The sequence below is a fragment of the Homo sapiens genome, chromosome 1, assembly GCF_000001405.40.
Source record: "Homo sapiens chromosome 1, GRCh38.p14 Primary Assembly".
In the NCBI taxonomy this organism is placed as follows: Eukaryota; Metazoa; Chordata; class Mammalia; order Primates; family Hominidae; genus Homo; species Homo sapiens.
In genome coordinates this window covers 202,207,174-202,222,832 of record NC_000001.11, presented here as the reverse complement: position 1 = coordinate 202,222,832, position 15,659 = coordinate 202,207,174, and the positions used below count along the sequence as shown (strand labels likewise).

General features: G+C 51.7%; 1 protein-coding gene across 13 annotated transcripts in view, besides 2 other annotated features; it reads right to left on the bottom strand.

The window, feature by feature from the left end:
- The window catches only part of LGR6 (leucine rich repeat containing G protein-coupled receptor 6), a 125,963-nt gene that overhangs the window by 96,929 nt on the left and 13,375 nt on the right, over positions 1 to 15,659 (bottom strand). For 8 of the 13 annotated variants that reach the window (XM_005245404.4, XM_011509839.3, XM_017001996.2 and 5 more), the window contains exon 1: positions 8,596 to 8,754. The exons of the other annotated variants lie outside the window; for them this stretch is intronic. In XM_005245404.4, coding sequence (XP_005245461.1) covers positions 8,596 to 8,678 — 83 coding nt within the window. In that variant the 5' untranslated portion in view covers positions 8,679 to 8,754. Of the gene's footprint in view, positions 1 to 8,595; positions 8,755 to 15,659 lie in introns of those variants that run through there. 13 annotated transcript variants of the gene reach the window in all.
- Positions 8,172 to 8,672: an enhancer, noted in NCBI's record as "H3K4me1 hESC enhancer chr1:202183289-202183789 (GRCh37/hg19 assembly coordinates)". NCBI's record gives its function as "activates a minimal SCP1, AML or CMV promoter by ChIP-STARR-seq in naive H9 embryonic stem cells {active_cell/tissue: H9 hESC(naive)}" and the evidence as "EXISTENCE:reporter gene assay evidence [ECO:0000049][PMID:30033119]".
- Positions 8,673 to 9,173: an enhancer, noted in NCBI's record as "H3K4me1 hESC enhancer chr1:202182788-202183288 (GRCh37/hg19 assembly coordinates)". NCBI's record gives its function as "activates a minimal SCP1, AML or CMV promoter by ChIP-STARR-seq in naive and primed H9 embryonic stem cells {active_cell/tissue: H9 hESC(naive and primed)}" and the evidence as "EXISTENCE:reporter gene assay evidence [ECO:0000049][PMID:30033119]".

Genomic DNA, 15,659 nt, shown 5'->3' with positions numbered 1-15,659 from the left:
CTGCGCCCAGCCTGTGGATGGATTTTAAGCCAGGGTTTGGTCCTCAGGATGTTTTCAGGCCCCACTAGTCTTGGATTGTGGCTGAAATGCGAAGGTGCAGGAGCACACTGGACAGTGTCAGGGGAACGTAGGGTGGCACCCACAGAAACCCAAGCGCAGAAGCTGGGCCAGATCGGACTCCTCCCCCTGGTGTCCCACCCCTGGCTCATTCTCAGTGAGGCAGGAGGCTCGAGGTGCCGAAAAAAAATGATTACCTCTAAATATTTACCCTGTGCATTTCTGGATGTGTCTCGACAGGAACGCAGCGGGAGTTCAAGGAGCACTCAGGGCGTGTGACTCAGGCCTCATCACTCAGCTGTCCCCCCAGGGGCCGGGCCGCAGAGCCTCTGATGTCCCTCCATGGCCCCCACCCCACCCACTCCCTCTGCCCCACCACCCTGACTAGCGGCCTCATTGTTCTCCCCTGCGGAGGAGGGGGCCTGAACCCCTCCACCCGCCCCCACATCCTGCCCCAAAACAACACAAAGCCCAGCTGCAGTGCTCAGTAAAGGGGGTGGGGTGGGGCAAGGAGGGTGAATTTCAACTGTTCAGGGGTGGAGGGAGCCCCATTCAGGGCTGGCTCTCTCACAAAAGGAAAAGGGGTAAGGCTGGTGCCAGGGGAAGGGGAAGGAAGAGGAGCGTGCAGAGCTGGAAGAGGGAGGTGAAGTGGGGATTTCAAGGCCGAGAGCCACCAAGCCAATGCCACCAGCCCTGGGAATGGCTAAGAGCCCTGGCAAGAGGCACTGGGCCCTGCTGTGGGGAGGCTGTGCCTGCACAATGACAGGGAAGGAACTGACACACAGAAACTCCAAACACAGAGGTTGCTCTGTCATGTTGGTATGTTGGTGGTTCCTACTGACATATGACTGTCCTGGGAGGTTGGTTGTGCAGCTGGTTTTTTGTGCAACTCAGAGGGCACAGCTCAAACATTCAGGCCCTGCCTGGACCCAGGGGAAATAAGAGGACACCTTGATCCTTGGGTGCTTGGGGTTTGGTTGTGGCTACATCCACTTGGCTGCATGAACTTGTAGACATGTACAAGAAGTGGGGGTCATGGGATGGGATAGCTGGGCTCTTGGATGTACTTGTTTTGAGGGTGCTGGGCATGTGTGTGTCATGTGTGAGGGCACATGTGTTTATCTGTACCTATGCATGTACAGCAAGGGGATTGAGATGATGGGTTGTAACTCCATCCTGAAGCCTTCTTCCTGGGAGCCCTTGGGATACCCAGAAGGGCTATGAGTCCTCTCAACTGGACACAGCCATGATGGGATGGGAATGGGAAATGTCTCAGGGAGAGACGTGCAGGAGGGGAATGGAGAGGAGAGAAGAGAGGGGCAGTTGTGGGCATGGGACGTGGAAGTTTCTGGCTGCACATGAGGAAAATGTTCTCAGAGTTTCACCCTGTGAGGCAACCAGACCACCCAAGGAAACTGGGTAAGGTGGTGTCACCATGGAGACAGGGAACAGGTTTGATAAGAGGGAGGATGCTGGGGGATGGAGGGGTCAGAGAGCAGCTGAAAGGGGCTGGGGTCATAGAAGACCCTCCGCCGAGGCAATCTGGCTCATATCCCAGGGCCCGAGGGGATTGGGTCTGTTTGAATTTTTCCTATGGGAAGAAGAAACAGTGAAAAACAAGCCCCTGGGTCCCCTGGGGTGGACCTGGGGGAACTGTGCCCACCTGCCCCGCTGGAGAAAAGACTGGAGGGGCAGAAACCCCTTTTCCACTGCCCCACTGTGGACTCAGGTTGCCCATCTCTGCAGCCAGGAAAAGGCCAGTTATTTTATTTATGTATAGATTTAAGGCATATGACTTGATGATCTAATCTCTGTATACATTGTGAGATAATCAGCACAATCAAACTAATTAAGATAGTCATCACCTCACATAGTGTGTGTGTGTGTGAATGTGTGTGAGTGTATGTGTTTGTGTGTGTGTGTGTGTCTGATAGGAGCATTTAAGATCTGCTTTCAGGAAAAGGCCAGCTACAGTGGCCAGGAGCCGAGCCCCTGGGGTTGGCTATGCCCCACAGTCCCCTCCTTTGTGAGGTGCTCCCAGAACCCCGTCCCCACAGTATTTTGCATATGATCACTCAACAGTGCTTACTGAGCACTTACCATGCATGTAGCACAGCACCTGCCGTTGTTATCCCCCCAGGACAACACTCACTAGCTGTGTGACCCTGGTCATGTCACTTCCCATCTCTAAGTCTCCATTTTCTCACCTGTGATATTGAAATAATGACACTAGCTACCTCACAAGAATTGTAGTGTGGGCCGGGCGTGGTGACTCACGCCTGTAATCCCAGCACTTTGGGAGGCTGAGGCGGGTGGACCACCTGAGGTCAGGAGTTCAAGACCAGTCTGGCCAACATGGTGAAATCGCGTCTCTACTAAAAATACAAAAATTAGCCGGGCCTGGTGACAGGTGCCTGTAATCCCAGTTACTTGAGAGGCTGAGGCAGGGAGAATCACTTGAACTCAGGAGGCGGAGGTTGCAGGGAGCCAAGATCATGCCACTGCACTCCGAACGGGACGACAGAATGAGATTCTGTCTCAAAAAAAAAAATTGTAGTGTGAAGTATATGAGTAAATAAATATAAAACACAGTGCTGGCCGGGCGCGGTGGCTCATGCCTGTAATCCCAGCACGTTGAGAGGCCAAGGTGGGTGGATCACCTGAGGTCAGGAGTTCGAGACCAGCCTGGCCAAAATGGCGAAACCCTGTCTCTACTAAAAATACAAAAAAATAGCCAGGTGTGGTGAAGGTCACCTGTAATTCCAGCTACTTGGGAGGCTGAGGCAGGAGAATTGCTTGAACCTGGGAGGATGAAGAGGTTGCAGTGAGTCAAGATCATGCCACTGTACCCCAGCCTGGGCAACAAGAATGAAACTGTCTCAAAAAAAATAAATAAAATAAATAAATAAATAAAACCCAGTGCTCAATAACTATGCCTTATTATTAATATTCTACTCATCTAACTGAATTATAATTATTAGTATAGAATGACACAGATGACTATGTGTTTCTTCAAGGCAAGGACTTAACCTTAGTCATCTGTGTATCCTCCAGTCCTATCAGGGTGCCTGGCAAATGGGGTGCTCAATAAATATCCAAATGAGTGCATTACTCTCATACACAGGTGATGTTCCTGTGGCTGAGCCTTTACTCTAGGGAAGTTCTTCTACTGCCTAGTGTCAATGTCTCCCCCAGCTGCTACAATGGCCTAACCTCTATAAAGAAGCTACCCCATGCTTAGTTCCAAGCCGGCACCCAATCAATGAAGGCTGTTGCTCACAGCGCTCCCTGTTCTCTTAATTAGGCATCCTCTAGAGAAGTTAAAGTGAGGTCCTCCTCCAAATAATCCTTTGGCTCCTGCAGTGGACCAGCAGCTTTCTCCAGAGCCTTCTCCTCTCAGTCTCTGACTAGGGCTTAACGGGCTGCCCAGACAACCTTCAGCAGCAACCCCTCCCCATGAGGGCCAGGCTGAGCCGGGCACATATCCTGCCATGGCAGGAGACAGCTCGTGGTTTGGCAAGGAGCAGGACAGGCCACTGTTGAGAGTCCAAAGGTGGGGTTCTCTCCCACTGAAAAAAGCCAGGAAACAGGCTGGCCGCCACGGAGACCATTTGGTGCTCAGAGAACACTTGCTGAATTTTTCTGTCAACAAGAGAAGCAGGTGATGGGGTAGAGAGGAAAGAACACAGAATCTGGAATCAGAGGACCTGGTTCCATTAGACGAATGCTAAGTTCCCGGCCAGCCCTGAAGGTCATGAAGTTGTTTTCCCATGGGCTTCTGTGCACTGAGCTCAGTGCTGTGTGAGATGGAGACAAAGCCCAGGACAAGGTCTGGGCCATCAAGGAGTTGACAATGTTGCTGGGGAAGGACTTTTTACTCACAAAGGGACGGCAAACCTCCATATATGTACTCCGCTTTGTAGTTTACAAACTGCTCTGCAGCCCTCCCAATTAGGTTCTAGACCATGTGCCCAGACTGGAGAGTACAACAGACACTCAGGAGAGAGGGTCAGCAGAGAAGGCTTCCCGGGCAGAATGAGTTGGGGCATGGATGAGACGTGAGCAACCCACAGAACTGAGTTCAGAGAGGAAAGCACCAGAGAGCACCTCATGTTACTTGTGGGGGCTCCGTTGGCATTGTGGATGAGCAGTTCTTTACTGGGCGGGACTGTCCCACTCGCTGCAGAGCTTTTTGCTTCCCTGGCCTTGCTCATAAGTGTTTGGAGCATCTCCCTATTATTGTGACCATCAAAAACACCCCATGAGCCTGGACAACATTGCGAGACCTCATCCCTATACAAAATTAAAAACTAGCCAGACCCGGTGGCACACACCTAGGGTCCCAGCTACTTGGAAGGCTGAGGCAGGAGAATCCCCTGAGCTTGGGAGTTTGAAGCTGCAGTGAGCTAGGGTAGTACCACTACACTCCAGGCTGGACAACAGACTGAGACTTTCTCTCTTAAAAGAAAATTTTAAATGAAGAAAAACACCCCATGCATTTCCAAACACCCCCTGAATAGCAGGCGCTTTCCTCTACCTACACTCCTTCAATTTGCTAGTGCAGGAACAGACTCAGAGGAACAAAGTTACCTAAGGACACATGGCAAGTTCATGGCAGAGTGGGTGTTACAAGTAGGTCTCCTAAAATCCTGGGGGATGCTCTTTCCACCCACCAGATTGATCTTAGTTTCTAGCACAGCCTCCCCACTTTAGATGGCACCTTCTTACCAGAGATGACTTGAATACTAGCTATCATCTTTGAGATTCCAAACACACAAGATGACACAAAGTTGTCTCAGATTTTTTGCAATTTTCACAAATATCCAAACAAGGGAGTGTACTTCCATCAGGAAAAAGTGTGTCTATCTTCACACACACATAAGAGCACAACCTGTTCTCTCTGGCTTTGCACAGAGTCCTGCGTGAGAACAATGCTGTATTTTTAAATAAAAGGGCTACTGCTTTATTTTGCCCTTTCTTGGCTCCCTTGTTGGTAAAAGGAATGTCTCCCAGACTGCCTGGAGTGGCAGGAGGGCTTGTGATGGAGAGGACAGGATGTGGGGGAAGATAGTAAAAGAGAAGCTGGAGGGGTGCCTGGAGTGGGGGGTTATTTGTGAGGGGAGAGAGAGTCCCTGGCAGTTGCTAAGCAAAGGCAAACCTTGTGCAGGTCAGACTGAGCCAGGGAGATGCTGGGCACCCACAGTGTCGCCCGAAGGTGACCCAATTCATTCAGGTGGGGCTGGGAGGGATAAAGGCAGGGGAAGACATTCCTAAAAGTCAGGGGAGAGAAACAAAAAGGTGGGGTTTTTTGTTTTTTGTTTTGTTTTGTTTGCCCTGAGTTAAAAGACCATGGAAGTCAGAAGTCAGAGACTGTCCACTGCATCGTGGTGTTTCATCGATGTGGTGTGGGGCTCCTAAAACCCTGATGGCAGAGAAAGGTCAGGGAGGGACGAGACCCAGGAGAGGTTCCTCTCTCTCAAAAATGCTAGATTTGGGAAATCATGGTTTGGCACCACCACAGGAACCAACTTCAGGTTAAATCGTATTGCTCTGACCTCTTCTTACTGAAAGGGGTTAATCTGACAGCAACAGCATGCCAAGGGTGTGGGCCCCTGGGCAGAGTGAGGAGATGGAGACAGTTCTGGGGCCGGTCCCCACCCTCAGCACTGCAGGGGAATCCTCCTGGGAGGGACTTAGGCCCATCGCAGGCTGAGGGGACATCTCTAGCTCTCCCCGGCACAGCTGTGAAGCTGGAGTGGCCCACACAAGTTCCTGAATCCCAGTCAGAAGTGTTACATCAGGTCAGGTGCAAAAGGTCACTCCTGCCCCCATGCAATTAGTTGTGGCTCTCAGAGAGCCTGGGGAGGTGTTCCCCTGCCTGTGCCCAGAGCCAGGAGAAGCTTCTCAAGAGCAAAGCGTGGCACTGGGATTGCATAATGTGTGTGTGTGCTTCTCCTTCAATGGCTCCTTCCTCCTTGCCAAGCCATGCCACCCACAGGCAGAGAAGTTAAAGGGACCCAGGCCTCCCAGGCCCAGCCGGAGCCACAGTGTGACCTGAGAACAGCCCAGGAGTATGACAGAGCAGAGCCTCTGGAGAGGAATGAAAATATGGGGGACTGCTTCTGGGCCCCCTCTGCTCTCTACTACCTCTCTGAGAGACAACGCAAGACCTACACTGTCCAGCGCAGTGGCCACTAGCCGCTTGTGACTATATTTAAGTTCATTAAAATTAAATTTAAAATGCAGTTCCTTAGCTGCACTAGCCACATTTCAAGGCTCAATAGCCACATAAAGATAGTGGCTCCTGTATTGGACAGCACAGTTCTAGAACACATCCATCATCGCAGGGCATTCTATTGGGCAGCAATGGTACAGCCTCTGTTGTCAGACTGACTTGTGTTTGATTTCCAGCTCTGCCACTTACTGGCTTCTGCGATTTTGGATAATTACTTCACCTGTCTTTGTCTTAATTTCCTCCCTGGTAAAGTGCTTAGGCAGTGCCTAGCACATGGTAAGTAACCAACAAATGTTACCTTTGAGCATCACCACCCAACTCAACCATTTACTGAAGCCCAGTTCAAGTACCTCCTCCTGCAAGAAGCCTCCAACTTTCAACCATTCATTTAGTCATGCAGCCATTTGTCTATTCAACATTTATTGAGCACCTAGTATACATCAGGCACTATGCTAGGTGACGAAGCGGCAAAGTCCAATCACAGATGCTCCCTGTCCTCAAAGAGCCAAGTAAGTGGGGACAATGACAACAGAGTGGACAATTACAAGCCTGAGTGACAAGTGCTGGGACTGGGACTTAAGTGTCACAGGGCTTCCTCAGACTAATCCCTTTGGCCTTTTGACTCTGATCTCTGCAGGTTCAGTCACAAAGTGAGGCCACACGATCCTGTGCTCGATTAAAACTGTCATCTCCTAATCTCAGACTGCTCATTCATGTAGCTGGTCTCCCCAGACAGGCTGGGAGCTCCTCCACAGCTCCCAGTTGTCTGTCCTTGTCACATACACACGCAGCTTCAAGGCTCATTTTCTACAGCTTCCGAGGGGTGGGCATCCCACCTGCGGGTCCTGGACAAGGGATTGAAGAGGGACGGAAGACAGATTCTGAGGCAGGAGGGAAATGGAATGAATCCTGCACATGAAAACGGCAGTGGCTGTGCATTAGAGGACTTGGCCACTCAATCCTGCTAAGCCTGGTCTCCCCTGACTCACCAGCATCTCTTCTAGCCCTCATTCTGATCTCCAGCTCCATCTAGGAGGGCACTGTTTCTGTGTGTGGAGGTATGTGGGCGTGAATTCTGTTCACCCTATCAGACTGGAAGCCCCTTAGAAAGAAGGACTGAGATATCCTATTAGATCAGACCTCTCCATGGGTAAAAACTGCACTTCCCTCCTCGCATGGAAATCCCTGAGCTCCCAGCCAGGGCCACCAGAAGAGGAACTGGGTGGAGCTGATGCAGGTGGGAAGAACTAGGGTGCACAAGGATTGGGGAGGTGAAGTCAGACCACATCTCTGAGCCTTGTTTGTTTAGCTGAAGCTCCTTGTCCTGCTGCCTTTATTTCATGGATAAACAGGCAGGGTGTGTCTGGGGGTGGAAAACTGGAGAAAGCCCTCTATTCAGAGTCCCACCCTCACCACCCCCACCACCCTCACTAACCCCATCCCAGATGGGAGCTTTTCTTTTACATCAGAGCACCCTCCTTCCCAACCCAGCAACTCAACTCACCAACGCGCGCGCGCGCACACACACACACACACACACACACACACACCCAGGTGCACCCAAACACCATTTACCCCTACCCTAGCCAGAGGGTTTTCTAAATTGGACAGGATCCCAGACTCAATTTGAATCTAGGAGAAAAGAGCAGAAGATAAAGTTCAGAGCATATAATAAAAAGAGCTACGTTTGCTGGATCACACACTGTGCTAAAGATTTCACTGACCCATTTTACAGATGAGGTTCAGCAAAATTAAGAGGTTTCGCCACCTTTCCGCCTCTCCAGACCCCCACTCCACGTCTTTGCAGTTTATAGAGCTCTTGAACATCCTTGGTTTCATTTAATTTGATCCTTTTTAATAGGTCAGGGAACGAAGCATTATTTATTCCCATTTTAAATGAAGAAACGGAGATTCGGAAATATCAAGTTACTTCCCACTGTGCCACAAAGTTAAGAATTGGCAGCGCGAACCCACGCCAGGTGGTTCAGTGGAGCCCCTAGCTGCACGCACGTACCCGGGAGCTAAGCGGCGGCCCCGGGGGCGGGGACCAGCCTCGCGCGCGCGCCCCTGCCCACCCCAGCCCGCCTGGCCGTGCCCCTGCCCGCCCCTGCCCGCGCCGCCCGCTCCATGGCTGAAAGGGTCCGGAAGTGGGGAGGCGGCCTCGGCTCCCAGAACAATGGAAGGGGATTAGGGCCGGCCCGGGTAGCGCCCCACCCGTCGCGTCGGTTTCTGGGTCCTGCTCCCCAGGGCTGCGGAGGACCTGTGGAACTTTCCGGAGCTCGGCACCCTTCCCCCAAGCCTACCTGGGCGCACCGCGCCGTGCACTCCCAGCCCGGGAGAGGTTCTGTCCCGCCCTCGCTGAGCGGCCCTCTCCCTCCAAGCGCATTCCGGCCCCTGGGACCTCGAGTGCCAGTTCTGCGGTCCAGTGCCCGCCACCCTCCGCGCTGATCCTCTCTCGTTCTGCCGCTTCTCTCGTATGCCCTTCCCTCTGGATAGCGCCCCACCCATCTGCCCTCTTCCCTAACTCCCGAACTATTTGGTTCATCAGAGCTATAGAAAGACTAGATCCAAGATCTGGATCTAAAATACCTGCCCAACAAGAAGTCCTTCCTGATACCTAGCCTCACTCCCTCATGCTGCAGTTGGACTGAATAGAGTTCTCTGCCTGCCCTTATAATGTAATCCTCAGTGGCTCTGGGGTCAGACTGCCAGAGTTTGTATCTTGGCCCTAACACTTAGCAGTTGTTTGATATTGGACTAGTTCCTTTCCTCTCTGTGCCTCAGTTTCTGCATCTATAAAATAGTATCTAATATTCCCCATAAGATAATGTTGTGAGGTTTAAATGGGAGAACCCATGGGTGTAGCATGAATGTCAGTGGACATCCCTCTCCTCACCTGCATGTAACCAACAGAGCCCCTCCTGGTGGAGAAGCAGGGCTATAAAGTTAGGAAAGATAGGCTGGGGAGGCTGTGGGTAGAGGAGGGCGTTCTGGGTCAGCCCTGCCCTTAGGAGGCAGCAGCTGCCGCTTCTCTCTGGTGCCTCCAAGTGAGTGCCACCTGCCTCGCCCCTGATCTTCTCATCCTTTGATCTTCTGATCTCTGGCCAGGGTCTCCCAGCCAAAGGCATTCCTGTCTCCCTTGCCTTCTCCAAGGAAAGGCAAAGGGCTGGACTCCCTCCCTTTGCCCCAAGCTCCTTCCTCCCTCCCCTGTGTTGTGTGTGTAACTAAGACTACCAGTCAGGCCCTGGGACGAAGTAACAGCCAGGACCCCTAAGGTGGCAGTGTCTAGGGGGAGAAGAGGACATGGGGAAGTGTTGGACATCGGGGCTGTTACTGGGCATGATGCCCTGGCTGGACCAGACACTGCTGGAAAGGTGACTTCAGCCCAAGTTCCTTATTGCCAGAACCAGTTTATGCAGAGCCCTGGATGAGCACTGGAGAAAGTGTGTGTGCCCCTGTGAACAGTGTGTGTTCCCTGCCCTCAGGAAACTTCGGTCTGAGGAGAGATTCAGACCCACAGATACTGCTGGACAGAGCCTTATACATTAGTGCTGGAGGAATCTCAAGTACCTGTGGGTCAGGGAGGGCTTCCTGGAGGAAGCTTGGCCTGAGCTGGCCAAGAGAGACATGATTTGCCATCAGAAAGTGGCCTGCCTCAGAGCTGTGCAAAGGGGGGAAATGAGCTGGGGGTGTTAGCATGGGAGTGAGGGAAAGTGTGGTGGATGAATGGTGGCCTCCCTAAAGGTGTGTCTACCTCATAATCCCTGGAACCTGTGAATATGATCTTACTTGAAAAAACGGCCTTTGCAGATGTAGCTAAGTAAGAGATCTTGAGATGAGGAGATCCTCCTGGATTATCTGAGTGGGCTCTAAATCCAATGTCAATTGCCCTTGTGTAGACACGCAGAGCTCACACACAGAGAAGAAGGTGAGGTGAAGACAGAGGCAGAGATTGGAGTGATGTGGTAACCACGAGAAGCTGGAAGAGGCACGCAGTGGGTTCTCCCCTAGAGCCATTGACAGGAATGTGGCCCTGCTGACATCTTGATATTGGGTTTCTGGCCTCCAGAACTGTGAAAGAATAAACTTCTGTTGTTTTAGGCCACCCAGTTTGCGGTACTTTGTCACGGCAGCCACTGGAAACTAACCCAGGTAAGCGGGGAACAATCAGCAGAGCCTCAGTGTGCTGCTGGTCCTCAAGCCCCTCTTCCCACTGTGGCTTCCTCCTGTCCTTCCCTCTGCTCGCCCTCCATCACTGGCCCAAGCCAGTGACCCATCCCACACTTCTCCACCTAGGAAAGTCATTCTCACCCCCTTGAGACTCCCTTGGATCTACTCTGATCCAGCAATTCCATTGCTGGGGACTTAACCAACAGACACACATCCATATGCTCACTAGACAACCGTACGAAACTGCTCATAGCGGTGGTAGCCATGATACTCCCAACTAGAACATGTCTGGTTGCCCATCGACAGTGGAATGCGTAAACTGGGTTGTATTCACCCATAGTAAGTACCATGCCACAATGAGGATGAACGAACTATGACCACCAGCAACAACATGGGTGAATCCTCAAACATGGTGAGGAAAAGAAGCCAGATGCAAAATAATGCCCCATTTATGATAAGGTTCAAAACACAGGCACAGCCTACCTATGTTGTTAGAAATCACGATCGTTGCTATCTTTGTGGGGGTGGGTAGTGACCAGCAGAGGGCATGGGGGTGGAGGGCTTCTGGAAAGCTGATGATGTTCTCTTTCTTGGTCCAGGTGCTGGTTACACAAGTGTATTTGCTTATGGAAATGTACCAAGCTATACACTTATGATATGTACGCTTTTCTATTATGTATATTATATTTAGTTTAAAAAAACAAACTCTGGGCCAGGCGCAGTGGCTCACGCCTGTAATCCCAGCACTTTGGGAGGCCAAGGCAGGCGGATCACTGGAGGCCAGGAGTTTGAGACCAGCCTGGCCAACATGGTGAAACCCCATCTCTACAAAAATATAAAAATTAGCCGGGTGTGGTGGCACATGCCTGTAATCCCAGCTACTTGGGAGGCTGAGTCAGGAGAATTGCTTGAACCTGGGGGGCTGGGAGGCAGAGGTTGCAGTGAACCAAGATCACACCACTGCACTCCAGCCTCGGTAACAGAGTGAGACTCTGTCTCAAAAAAACAAACTCTGAAAGTCTTCGTGAACCTCAGGCTTTCTGAGGGCTCCCCTCTAGGTTCCCATGGCATCTCATGAATAATTCTCAGTTTTTATGTCATTAAATGAAATTGGATGTTTATTTCTGTATATTGTTTCATCATACTCATCTGTGTATCCCCAGCACTTTCCCCAGGCTCTGGCACATAGTAGATGCTCAATAAACACTTGAGATTTGCTGGCATGGCCATGGGCTTTGGTGTTGCCAGGCTTCTCTCCCAGGGTTAACTGGCCATTGGCCCCAGTTCCCTGGATCTTCACAGGATTCCACAATGAGACACATTCCTTCCCACTGCTGCCCCATCCTACCCACCTTCTAAGTCCCCCCACAACCAGCCTATGCTTGTCTCCTGCCTCATGCTTAACGCACACAATGGTAATTTTCTGACCCAATTGTAATCTCTGTTAATGCAAAATTCAAGTCTTACTTATCTGGGATCTTCAGAGCCTAGGCAAGTGTCGGGCACACTGTGGAGATTCAAGAACCCACAGCCTCAAGTTGCTAGAGTCCTCTATCCAAGCCTAGGGGCAGGCACATACCTTTGTTCGTCCTAGCTTGTTTGGAATTGGATGGAAATTTTCAAAAGAAGTTTTCTTTAAAAAAAATCAAGAGAATGAATAGGAAAGGCAAAAGCTTCTAAGTGGAAGGGTTTATAGAACAGATGTCTCACTCTAATGAAACCCAAGCCTGGCCACGAGCTGACTGGCTGGCAGCTTAAGAGGCTCCCCAGTGCGGCTCCATCCTCACCGCAGCCGTCTGGGTTGGAAGCCACACCTCGGGCTCCTGCCTGTGGTGGAGCCAGGTTAGTGCTACTACCAGGTCTGAAGAGGGCTGCCCTCCCTCCCTCTCTCTCAAATAGGTCCATCTGCTCCAGCCTAGGGTTTTTGTTTTTTTTTTTTTTTCTGCTCTGTACCTCCCAGCCTCTGGCCAGTCATTTGTTCATTCATTCATTCACTCATTCATCTCTTTACTCATTCCACCAATATTTTTGAGCATCCATGTGCAGAGGGCTTGGGCCAGCACTGAGGATACCAGGAGAGCAATGGTGGCCAGGCCCCTGCTTTCTTGGGGGTCCCAGCCTGGTCTGAGAAACAGACAAGTAACCAGGAATCTGAACCCAAGGGAATGAGCCTTGCGGCAGGGCAGGCACACAGAGGGGAGGCCTCCCCCAGAGTTGAGGGATTAGGGAAGGTTTCCCAGAGGAAGAGACATCTCAGTCAGCCCCTTACATCCTAAATGAAGCTGATGCTTCCTTGCCTCTTCCAAATACCCCACCAGAGCAGCAGGCTTCTGGTCTGAACCCATTTCTTCACCACATCCTTGCAGTAAATCAACCGTGATGTCCATAGGGCTGTTTCTTATAGACCTGGATATAAACCAATGGTGCATCACCTAAGTACAAACTAGGTAAAAGCATTTCTGTAGGAGATGGAGTAGAGAGTGGCTGTCCAGCAGCTCCACTGATGATCTGACTTATTCCATGAATAAGCTTGAGGCAGTGCTTGGCAAACCCTAAAATGAAGATTCTGGCTCAGTAGGTCAGGGTTGAGGCCTGAGCTTCTGCATTCCTCACACACTCACAGATGATGCCGATGCTATGCTGCTGGGCTGTGAACCATACTTCGAGTGAAAGGCTTTAGGATATCCAAGGGAATCCATAGAATAAACCTCCTTTAAGCAATCTTTTATAAATATGTTTTAAATCACTTTTTTTAACTAAGTATTGACCAGGCTGACTCATAGAAATATGCCACTGTGGCCTGGTCTAGACAAAGGTGTCTGGCCAAGGGGCCAACCAGAGGACAAAATCTGCTCCTGCCCCACTCATCAACTCTGCCCGCTCCCCACGTGGTAGGGCCACTGGGGCAAGGGGCACCCTTTTCTATTTCTCACAAAGATGTTGCCTGGACTAGCTGCAGCCCAGAACACTGTGGGGCGGGCAGGCTGAGTGGATGTGTGGATTTCTGAGGAGGAGCAGGGAGAGGCCTCTGACCTCCTCAGCAGCAGGCAGCCCCTCCAGGATCCCTGGGGATGGCAGGTGTGGCGTCTCCAAGGTTGCCTTTATAGGCCAGGATCCCTTCCTCATGGAGAAAGTGAAATGAAACCCAGGTCACCCCACCATTGCCTATGGGGCTAACAAAGAAGGGGTTAGCTTTGGGCTCTCTCCCCTCTGGCCAAAATAGGAGGGAAACTTGGGGACACTATGATAGGAAGGAGGAGGGACTCTAGGAAGAACTTCCCAGTGATCACATTCCCAGGGGGTCAAACACTAAGCAAATGGTGGGGTGTAATGACTTGATCTGCCCATCTGGAGGTCCCAGCCGAGGTTAGGGGTAAGGGGCTGGAGTAAGGTGTCAGAAGGGCTCCCCAGGCCAAGTTTCTGAGCTTCCAAGCCTTCCCCTCTTACTACACTCTTTACCCCTATGGCTCTAGGGCCATTTGCTCATTGGCACTGGGCATGCTAGGGTTCCAGGGGTTAGCCCAGGTATTTCCTGACCCCAAGCCCCACCCCCAGCAGGTGCCCTGGGCCCCGCAACATGGTGCCTTTGCGCCCCCATGCCAATCTAGACAGTGAAGCTAATGCTTTCTGGCAGGTGGAGGCAGGGCAGGCAGAGGGGGAGGTGGCACCCTGGGCTTCTGCATTCAGAGTAGGGGAGTGGGCAACGAGGCGAGGGCTGGCGTGGCGTCGGCTGGCGGGGGGGTAGGCATTCCTCTTTCCACTGGCTGCACATAGTTAATGGGGGGCCTTGTTCTGGGTAGGCACACAGCCCTCGAGGTGCTGATGATGGCCATGTCCTATCCCGGCCCCTGGGATCTCAAGTCTCACGGAGTGAACACTGCAAATCTCAGGGGACCCTGGCACCTCCCTCACATCACAGTCTCCTCTTCATTGGCTCACTCATGCCCCTTCTCTCTCTCTCTCCCCCCTCCTTCTCCTCTCTCTCTCCCCTCTTTGTATCTTTCTTTATACACCATCATTTGTCTCTGTAATATCCTGGGGTCAGGAACTCTCACCCCACAGGAAACAGACCCAAAGGCATCAGAGGACTTGTCCAAAGGCACTCAGCATGTTGGCGGCAAAGACAGCGTCCTAGCCCAGGGTCTCCTGATCCCACTTCCACCAGAGAACAAACCTAAAGTTCCAGTTGCTGGAGTCAGGAGGGTTGCGACGAAATTGGAGGAGGGAAACTTTGGAAGCACCTCCTTCCTCCAGAGGACTCATGCAACTCCTCACTCCACAGGACAGAGAAAAACTGCAGCAGGAGGGTGGGAGATTGGAGGGAGAGGCTGAGCCAGCAGGGCTCTGCAGGTCAGTGGTAGGATTTCCCAAGTCCAGGCGCTCACTTGGGGCGTTACTAAGAATTTATCTCCACAGCTGGACCAGGGACTCTGTTTTTTGCAGTGAAAGTTAGTGTCAGCACCTAGCACAGCTGTGCCTACTACTAAGTGTATACTTAATACATATTCACAGGTTGAATAAATGAAAAATAATAGCTAACATCCATTGAATGGTTACTGTGTGCCAGACGCCGTTCTAGGCACTTTGCATATATTAACTCATTTAACAAGGGCATCGTTGTCATCCCTCTATTACAGGTGAGGAAACTAAAGCACAAAGAGGGTAAATCTTTCCCCAAGGATTGGTAAAAGGCAGAGCCAGAATCTGAACTTAGGTGGAGTGGCTCTGGGGTTTGTGCACTTACCCACTCTGCTAGATTTATAAGAAACTGGGAAGGAGGCCAACACACACAGGATCTGACATCTGTGGGATGGGCCCTCTGCCCTCCCTTTCAAGCAGAATCCCTGCCTGCCAGAGCCTGACAACTGCCTCATTCCCAGAAACACTGAGACTCTGGTGTGCCCCCTGTGCCCACTCTAGCACAATGCACCCCATAGTCCCTGGCCCCTGCAGATGCCACGCTCAGGCCAAGAAGCACCTCCAACCCAAGGTTGCTCAGTCTCCCCTCTAGTCCTGGGGCCACCTCCTGCCCATCTGGACAAAGGCTGCCTCATCTCCCCTGTGGCATCCCTGAGAGGGAGACCCCTTCCTCTCATCCCCTCCTGCCCTAGCCCCTAGGTTAAGGGGAGAAAGGGCTCCATAATTTGCAGGACCGGCCGGGCACAGTGGCTCACACCTGTAATCCCAGCACTTTGGG